We start from the raw sequence: 10474 nt of genomic DNA, 5'->3' as shown, positions 1-10474 counted from the left end.
CAGCCTCCTGAGTAGCTGGGATTACAGGCATGCACCACTACGCCTGACTAATTTTTGCATTTTTAGTAGAGACGGGGTTTTGTCATGTTGGCCAGGCTGGTCTCAAGGTTTTGACCTTAAGTGATCCACCCACCCTGGCCTCTCATCAAAGTGCTAGGATTACAGGCATAAGCCACCGTGTCCTGCCACTGAAATGTTTTTAAAATGTGTCTATTTCCTTACTCCATTTAAAGGCAGAAGTTGGTCCACAGCAGATAAGATGGGAGAGAGACCTCAGCTCACTCAACTTCACAGGGTAACTGAAGAGTAAATGAAAACTGCTATAAATGGGATGGATAGCTGTGAAGCTACCATCAAGTGGACAAACCCTACCTCTCTTTCTGCTTAGGCTGCTTCTTAAAAAGCAAAATCCATTGGAAGTATGTAACTCCAACCACACATCCTGTGGTGCCTTGTTCAAATCCAGGTGTCTCTCAAACCCTGGCCTTTAGGACTATACTATAGTGAAGATGAATTAGTAGATTCTGGAATTAGGCAACCATGGGTCCTAATTTCATCCCTACTAGTTATTAGAGGTAGCCATGAGATGGATAATTCTGACCTCTGAGAAGTCAGGAAAGTTATGAGGTAGGGCTTTCTGGAAACTTTTTTTTCTAGGGGACAAAAACAAATGCACGTACTTTTTTTCTTCCTTTTGTGCAGAACATGGGCGTGATGCTCGAGTGGCATAGACTGCTTTACAGATGCGAGGGTGAACACCAATACGAAGTATGGAAGAGCAGAAAACCAGGAGACATCTGGGTCCCTGAGGCCACTATGGAGCTGCACTAGTGGCATTGGACTGCTCACCTCTAGACTTTTTAAGGTGAGAAAAATAAAGCCAGTAATTTGTTGTTTAATCTGCTGTTTTTTGGATCCTTTTTTTTTTTGCAGCTTAACAATATTTATTAAGTGATAAGCTCACAGGGTTGAGGATCAAAAGAGAACCATCTATGTGAAGAGTATAAAACAGTTCTTGACACACAGGAAGTGGCCAGTCAATGATAACTATTATTTTTGGGAGATTATCTGACTACCAGCAGAGAACAAAAATCAAACAGAATAAACAACTTGGGAAGGGAAGAAAAGGGCTGAACAGAAGTGATGATAGGGTGATAAAAAATTCAGAATCATAGAGCCAAACAAGGTACATAAGTGGTCTGACATATAGTACATAATCAATATGTATAATTCCTTTTCCTATCCTATCTGTGAGAACACAAACTAATGCCATTTAGTCACGAGAACCTTGATCAACAAGGAAGACCAGACTAACCAAGAAGATTTTAGGACTCTGAGAAGTAAAGATTGTATTTATAAGGTTATTTATATTTGAGCGAGACATTCCACTCAATGTCTCTTTTATTCCTGCTTATGTAATACTGTCAAGATATAAATCAAAGAAATACACAAAAGAGATACTGATAAACAAAATGTCACTAAAAAAGATGGCACAGATTGGTCAGCCATCTTAATGACTCATTAATGGCTTAATGACTCATTAAGCCATCTTAATGACCTTAATACTAGGTCCTAGAGGAATAGAAAGTTGCTAAATAGAAAAATCTATTTTGAAACCAAATTGTTCATAACATTTGTCAATCCACAGAAATAATACAATAGAATTTGAACAAATGGGCAGAGAACTCAACATATTTAACTTCAGAAATGCACCAGAAAAAAAAAAAAAAGTATGGCTGGGCACAGTGGCTCATGCCTGCAATCCCAGCACTTTGGGAGGCCGAGGCAGGTGGATCACGAGGTCAAGAGATTAAGACCATCCTGGCCAACACAGTGAAACCCCATCTCTACTAAAAATACAAAAATTAGCTGGGCATGGTGGCGCACGCCTGTAGTGCCAGCTACTTGGGAGGCTGAAGCAGGAGAATTGCTTGAACCCGGGAGGCGGAGGTTGCAGTGAGTGAGATTGTGCCATTGCACTCCAGCCTGGCGACAGAGCGAGACTCCTTCTCGGAAAAAAAAAAAAAAGAAAAAAAAGTATGATGAAAAGAAAACATGTGAAGAGCTGGAAAAGTAGGACCAGATCAGAGAATAATGTTTACAATATGTGGGAAAGGAAAAAAAGTCGATATTTGTGGTCACCTTGAAAGGAATTTATGACAATGTAGTACCTGATTCCAATTCAACAAAAGCTGGAGAGTTTAAAAAAACTATGAAAATACAGTCTTTCTTTTTTGTTTTTTTAAAAAAAGACTTAAATACTAGACACTGATATGACCTAGAGAAGAGCAATTGATGAAGAAAAATCTGTAATGATTAACATGAAGTCACTGCTCAATGTAAATACCAAGGGAAGATGAAGTAAAAAGAAAAGAACTGAAAGGCAACAAATCACAGACTACAACTATTGTATTTTCAAAATTGTATTAGGTATCACTACATAAAGTAAAAACTCTTAAGTTAGAGTGCAAAATGAAAGCGCCTTATTGTTTTAAAGGTGCAAAAGCAAAATATCACAAACATTTTCAATAGAAAACTGATTTATAAATCCATTTACAGAAGATCAAAAAAATCAATGTTTAGTACCAACTTTAACTATAAATAACTAAGAAGGAAAAAACTGTCCTTCATCCTTCTGTTTCTGTTTCAACGTCTATGTCTTCTGCTCCTTGCCTTTTGGAGAAAATATTGCGTTGTAAGGCTGACGTCTTTTTGGACGAGGACAAGGATCAAGATCTTCCTTAATATAACCTTAAAAACAAATCATAAACTTAGAAGACTGTATGTGCAACATGCATTTCTTTCAGCTTATATCTAGTAAACATTTCTCTTATTTGATGCTTTGTAAGTTTACATGATTCTTCTGATTATTAGCTGTGTGATGCTGATGATTGATCTCACTATTTAGCATCAGTTTCCTCATTTATAATAATGACAGCAAATATTTACCAAATGGTTACATATATCATCTCATATAACTCACATTCCTTTGAAGTAGTTTCTACTATACCTGTTTGACAGATGAGGTAATAGAGACCCAAGGAAGTTAAATTACTTGTTCAAGTTCACAAAGCTAAAAAGTAGAGGAGCTGGGACCTGGCCCAAGCTCTTTCTTATTCCAGAACCAGAACTCTTAAACACTTTCCTATTCTGCCTCCCATAGGTAGTTGCAAAGGGGGACAAAGTGCTAAACATGAACTCTACTATTATAAATTTCAGGTACTTATCAAAAATACTTTTTACAGTAGCTATTTCAATAGATGACAATCCCTCTATACCCTTCAGACTATTAGATCTCCTAAGGTGTCTCTAAGCATGTAATCTTCAGGGGAAGTATTTGCTCTGCCATACGCATGGGGTGCAATCACAGGCTCTATCCAGACTGATTCTATCTGGTGACCAGGCAGTGAGATATCACATCAAAGTTGACTCAATCTGGCTTATTAATGGGGAAAGCAGAAATACAGTGAAAGCTGTCAGAGACTTTGCATCTTTTGGAAAAACTATCTTACAGTTAAACATCTGGAGCGTCTCCAAAAGTGAAGAAGGTCTCTCCCTCCTTGTTGTGCAGCTAAATCATCAGAGCTCTTCATTGAGAACAGTTTCTTTTCAAAATTAAATTAAATTAATTGTTTTTTTGAAACAGGGTCTTGCTCTGTTGCCCAGGCTGGAGTGCAGTGGTGCAATAACGGCTCACTGCAGCCTCCACCTCCAGGGCTCAAGCAATCCTCCCATCTCAGCCTCCTGAGTTACTGCTGGGACCACAGGCATGCACCACCATACCTGGCTAATTTTATTATTTATTTCGTCTAGAGCCAGGGTCTCACTCTGTTGCCCAGGCTGGTCTCGAACTCCTGGGCTCAATGGATCCTCCCATCTTGGCCTCCCAAAGTGCTGGGATTATAGGTGTGAGATACTGTGCCCAGCTGAGAATAGTTTCTATAAGATGGCAAGGCTGAACTGAAATTCTAGGTGGTATAATTTTATCATTTGACATTTATTTAATGCTATTTTATCGTCTTGTGGGTAAAAATTTTAAACATTTATCTGTAACTGACAAATACAGGCCTAAAGCCTGAAGGCTACTAATTAATTAAAAAGTCAAATCATAAATATTCTAAACACTACTATACTTTTCAATCACATACCAGAAAACATATCTTGTTTTCATAAAACTCAGTATTTTTTTCTTAAGACGAATCAGGTACAGTAGTGAGAATGAAGGGAAAGAGTAAAAGAAGCAGTTCAATCTGTAATTGAATGATCAACTGAGATAACTAATTGCCTCTGGACCAGCTAAAACTCAGTATTTTAAACCACAAGGTAAGACTTAGTCTGTAACTGGATGGTCTTTGGACCATGGAGAAAATAGCAAAAAATAATAAAGAGGTCAGAAAAGTCCCTGCTTAGCTAATATTCTTCCTCTCTTATGGCTTTTTTTCTGAACAGCTTCATTCAAGTACACTTGGTATGTAATAAACTGTACACATGTAATGTCAGTATTTAGCTCATGTTTTAGGATGATTTTGAATTAAAATTCTTCATAAAACTAAGAGTATGTTGTCTTATTAAAAGAATGTTTGATTGAATGTCTGTACCAACATTCATTTAATAACAAATGAGTTTTGAACTATATGTGCCACATACAAAAAAAGTCTAAGAATACAATAATGTAGAGAATAAAATCTTCAGTTAAAGAGGCCCCTTCAGGCCGGGCGTGGTGGCTCGAGCCTGTAATCCCAGCACTTTGGGAGGCTGAGGCGGGTGGATCACTTGAGATCAGGAGTTTGAGACCAGCCTGGCCAGTATGGTGAAACCCCGTCTCTACTAGAAAAAAAAAAAAAAAAAAAAAATAGGCTGGGTATGGTGGCATGTGCCTGTAGTCCCAGCTATTCAAGAAGCTGGGGCAGGAAAATCGCTTGAACCTGGGAGGTGGAGGTTGCAGTGAGCCGAGATTGTGCCATTTGCACTCCAGCCTGGGCCTCACAGTGAGACTCCATCTCAAAAAAAAAAAAAAAAAAAAAGGCCCCTTCATAAAAACTAGCTATTAAATGCTCTTATGAGCTCCTCTGGAATTATACTTTCACAACAAAGGGTCTGTGAAATGGACCCTGCTTAATTAAATAGCTCTTTTAAGGCTAAGGACTCGAGCATTTCATTTCATTTAAACCAATGATTACAATAAAGTTTAGACCTTAGTGACTATGAATTACTATATGCCTGGAATAGTGGTAATGTCCAGATTGATAGTCCTAGCTTGAGCACAGAAATGGGAGTATGCTACCCCAAAGACAGTTAAATGACATGAAGACTTCAGATCACATACCCAACTAACTTAATTTTGGTAGAAAATATAAAACCAGAAAAATGTGGATCTATACTTTTTAGCATTATGCTGCTGGTAACATAGAAAAATTACTACTCATGACCTTTTATTAACAGCCTAAAAGCTGAATATATTCTCAAATTATATTAAATGTAAGTGTCATATCTAAACAAGCTAGTTGCATGTCAACAACCTAACAAATAAACATCTTTTTTATTTATTCAGATACCACTTATAAACATCCAGCATTCTGGGTAAGTGAGGTTTTAAAATCCAAAATTCATAGCAGTAGATTTTAAGATTCTCTCTTTTTAAATATAACTTTCCTGGTAATTTTTGTTAGGTTATTTATTTTATTTAAAGTCATTTTGGCTGGGTGCAGTGGCTCATGGCTGTAATCCCAGTGTTTTGGGAGGTCAAGGCAGGAGGACCACTTGAGGCCAGGAGTTCACGACCAGCCTGAGCAACATAGTGAGACCCTGTCTCTAGGGGGAAAAAAAAAAAAGTGCTGGGTATGGCGGCACAAGGCTGTAGTCCTAGCTACTTGGAAGGCTGAGGTAGAGTTTGAGCCCATAAGTCGGAGGCATCAGTGAGCCATGATTATGCATGCCACTACACTCCAGCCTGGGTGACAGAGTGAAGCCCTATAAAAAAAAAAATCATTTTGATGATAGAATAAAAGAGAAATTGCTTTTTGAAATTTGGTAAACCAGAATAATATAAGCACAATCACATTAAAGTGATATTACCAATCTCTAATTCCAAATAAATTACTGAAGAGTCCTTTTATCTTTAGGAATGTTTTTATGTCACAAAACTAGCACCCAACCTGCAGCAAAAGGTAAAGAGAATCACAGAAAAAAAGGTGCATGTTCACATTTGGGCATATACAGTTATTTATTTTATTTTATTTTATATTGTATTTTATTTATTTTATTTTATTTTATTTTATTTTATTTTATTTTTGAGACAGAGTCTTGTTCTGTCGCCCAGGCTGGAGTGCAATGGCACAATCTTGGCTCACTGCAACCTCTGTCTCTTGGGTTCAAGTGATTCACTTGCCTCAGCCTCCTGAGTAGCTGGGACTACAGGCATGTGCCACCACGCCTGGCTAATTTTTTGTATTTTTAGTAGAGATGGGGCTTCACCATGTTGGCCAGGCTGGTCTTGAACTCCTGACCTCAGGTGATCCACCCACCTTGGCCTCTCAAAGTGTTGGGATTATAGGCGTGAGCCACTGTGCCCGGCCAAGTATTTAAAAAAAATAATTATAAAATGTTACAATCTATACTCTCACCTCTTTCCATACAAGTCTGAGTGGAAGGAAAACCAACTTCCCAAAAATTCTCTGGTGTGTTGGGTGGAATGTAGCGGAATCGGTGTCTTGAGCAGGAAGCCAATTTCTTTTCTCTTTCTTCTGCTGGCATATCTGCATAATACTAATAATAAAAACTGGTAAGTTTTTTCACTAAAGAATAATAAATGGAGTGTTATGCTTATTGATTACAAACTAGAAGCTAAAAAAGCCATTTACTAAGATATTCAGCAGTCTAAGGAAACTTAATCCTCATTGATGATACTATTAGTAATTAATTCTTACAGACAGTATTAATTACTAACAGTAATCAGTGCTGATGTTGGTCTGTGAAGTGCCTGCTTCACTGATGAGAAAAGGAGCTTGTATCACAATGTAAACCAATAAAGTGCTTCCTTTATCAGTAAAGTGTTGCAATTAAAAAAAAAAAAAGCCAGCTGATCTTGACAGTGTGCTTAGTGATACAGCTGATTTATACACTGGTACAAAGTCTTTATCCTTATTAGGCCAGTAAAAAAAATTCAGAGGTCTACATGTTTCTTAATTATTATTTGAATATAACGTGTGTTTCAAAGTAATTTTCTTATCTCTACGGCTTTAAAAAATAATTTAGATCTGAATGTTGAAGGCTCCATGACTTCTCCCTTTAAGATTTCAGTTAGGATCAAAAGCCTACTATTTTTTGGCAACTGTGAAAACAAAGAACTTGAACTTCATGCACACAAGGATAAAATTATACGTAAAAATTGTACAGGTTTTTAAGGCCTAGACTTAGTGAAAACAAAGCAGTAGTTTAAGGTTTAATAGAACATAGATGACAGAATCACTTTTTTTTTGAGAGACAGAGTCCTGCTCTGTCACCCAGGCTGGGGTGCAGTGGCACGATCTTGGCTCACTGCAACCTCCCACTCCTGTGTTCAAGTGATTCTCTTGCCTCAGCTTCCCAAGTAGCTGGGACTATAGGCATGCACCACCACACTCAGCTAATTTTGTATTTTTAGTAGACACGGACGGGGTTTTACTATATGTTGGCCAGGCTGGTCTCGAATTCCTGACCTCAAGTGATCCACCTGTCTCAGACTCCCAAAGTGCTGGGATTACAGGTGTGAGCCACCCAGAATCACATATTTAATCCAGCCGATTCCTTCACTTTACACTTGAGAAACTGAAAATGAAAGTGGTAATTTGCCAAAGATATCACCTATTGAAAGTGACAGACTTAAAACTAGAATTTAAGTTTGAAGTAAAAGCTTTTAATACATTTCTATTTTACACAGATTAAAGGCTTTAAAGAAGCTGTGAAACAACTTCATTCAGGTATCTTTTTCATCATTCTCACTGCCCTAAGTATAAGCCTTTGTTACCTTAGTCTGGGCTTTGGGATGAGATGAGATGACCTTAGAGAATCAGGGCTTATTGGAAAAAACACTGCCACTGAATTAAAACATATTTGAGAAACAGTAGTCGGTGAGTGCAGTTGTAACACAGCAAGCAAATGGGTGAGTGGTTGAACAGAAATCAGAGAGGAAGTGCAGAGCCAGAGTTTGTTGTCCTTGATAAGGACTTTAGATTCTTTTTCTTAGTGGGATGGGAAGACAATGAAGGATTCTGGGAATGACATGATTTAACTTTTATTCTAAAAAGATTATTTAAAAAAAAAAAGGCCATTCATTGCTGAGCTGAAAGTACATTGTTAAGAGACAAGAATGAAAAGTAAAAGAGAATGGGGACAGAGGTACATGGGAACTGTATGTACTTTCTGTACAACTTTGCTGTGAACCTATAACTGCTCTAAAAAATAAAGTTTTATTTATTTATTTATTTATTTATTGAGATGGAGTTTCGCTCTTGTCACCCAGGCTGGAGTGCAATGGAGCAATCTCGGCTCACTGCAACCTCTGCCTCCTGGGTTCAAGTGATTTTCCTGCCTCAGCCTCCAGAGTAGCTGGGATAACAGGCATGCACCACCACGCTCAGCTAATATTTGTATTATTAGTAGGGACAGGGTTTTACCATGTTGGCCAGGCTGGCCTTGAACTCCTGACCTCAGGTGATCCACCCGCCTCGGCCTCCCAAAGTGCTGGAATTAGAGGCATGAGCTACTGTGCCTGGCCAAAATACAAGTTTTAGAGTAAAAAAAAAAAAAAATGACCAGGAGAGCACTTAGAAGCTATTACAATTATAAAATGTTGGCCGGGTGCAGTGGCTCACACCTGTAATCCCAGCACTTTGGGAGGCTGAAGCGGGCGGATCACGAGGTCAGGAGATCGAGACCATCCTGGCTAACACAGTGAAACCCCGTCTCTACTGAAAATACAAAAAAATTAGCCAGGCGTGGTGGCAGGCGCCTGTAGTCCCAGCTACTCAGGAGGCTGAGGCGGGAGAATGGTGTGAACCCAGGAGGCGGAGCTTGCAGTGAGCCGAAATCGCGCCACTGTGCTTCAGCCTGGGCAACAGAGTGAGACTCCAACTCAAAAAAAAAAAAAAAAAATTATAAAATGTTGCCTTGGTCCAGGGCATTAGTGGTGGTGATAGTAAGTGGATGGATATGGGATATATTTTGAAGGAAGAATCAATGGGGTTTGTTGATATAAAAGTTATTGAGATGTGAAAGAAAAAAGTAGTGAATAACTATAAGATCTCAGGACATATAGGAGACTCAGCAGTGAGGTTTGGGAATTGAGGGCAGATATTGTATGTTTGTTTTTGGATGTGTGAAATTTGAGATCACTATCTCAGATCCACATGAGTATTGCACACTCCACTTGCAGAATAGGCAATGGGATAAATTTAAGAACTGTAAGCATATGGTTAGTATTTAAGTACATGGGACTGGCACTTCCACTTCTGGTCATGATGGAGTAACAGAACAGATTTACCTTCCTAGGTAAATTAACTAGAAAAACTAAAATGTATACAATAATGGTTTTCAGAGATTGGATAACAGAAAGCACGGGAAATGATTATTGAGAATGAATGTAACTTAACAGTGTTTCTAGCAAAATAGCTTTTTTCTAACTAGTAGGATTAATTCTAGATCATAGAATTATGGTTATAACTAAAAAACCAGAGATTTACTCAATGTGGACCATATTCTTTAAGACATCGTGATATATTCAATTTGTGTAATGAAAACTCACGAACTCACATTATAGGCTTTTGCTTGTATTGCCAAACTGCTTTTCAAAATAGTGATCCCAATTTATATTCCCATTGTTAGTACATAAGAGCATATTTTTACCCAATGCTTACCTGTATTACAATCTAGTCATACTTTCACATATAATTTTAATGTGCTTGGTTATTAAATTTTCTAGCCCGTATGTTAAAAATGAAATTTAAAAGGGGAAGTAAATTGCTGAGGGCAGGCATCTGAGAGCTAATGGACAACAAGGGAAGAAATAAAAACAGCATGTTCCAGGTCAAAACAGAACCTGCCTGGGACTATTCAGTAAAAGGACAATCAATACAGTTGGCCCTTCATATCCTTGGGTTCTACATTCATGGATTCAACCAGCCGTGGATCAAAAATATTCAGGAAAAAAACCTTCATCTGTATTAACATGTACAGACTATTTTTCTTGTCATTCCCTATACAATACAGTATAACAACTATTTACAAAGCATTTACATTGTAATAGGGATTATAAGTAATTAGAGGTAATTTAAAGCATATGAAAGAATATGCATAGGTTATAGGCAAGTACTATGCCATTTTATATCAGAGACTTGAGCATCCGTGATTTTGGTATCCACAGTAGGTCCTGAAGCCAGTTTCCCACAGATACAAAGCAATGTCTGTACCATCTACTTCAACATCCAAGACAGCCAAT

At 38.0% G+C, this 10474-nt stretch overlaps 1 protein-coding gene across 14 annotated transcripts in view; it reads right to left on the bottom strand.

Annotated features, from left to right (window-relative positions):
* Positions 2408–10474, bottom strand: part of RBBP8 (RB binding protein 8, endonuclease) — a 112348-nt gene continuing 104281 nt past the window's right edge. For all 14 annotated transcript variants that reach the window (XM_047437728.1, XM_006722519.3, XM_011526132.3 and 11 more), the window contains 2 exons: positions 6624–6765; positions 2408–2751 (listed from right to left, as the gene is read on the bottom strand). In XM_047437728.1, the coding sequence (XP_047293684.1) occupies positions 2654–2751; positions 6624–6765 (240 nt within the window). In that variant the 3' untranslated portion in view covers positions 2408–2653. The remainder of the gene's footprint in view (positions 2752–6623; positions 6766–10474) is intronic.

The sequence above is a fragment of the Homo sapiens genome, chromosome 18 (assembly GCF_000001405.40).
Source record: "Homo sapiens chromosome 18, GRCh38.p14 Primary Assembly".
Lineage (NCBI taxonomy): Eukaryota > Metazoa > Chordata > Mammalia > Primates > Hominidae > Homo > Homo sapiens.
This window is presented reverse-complemented; position numbering and strand designations above follow the sequence as displayed.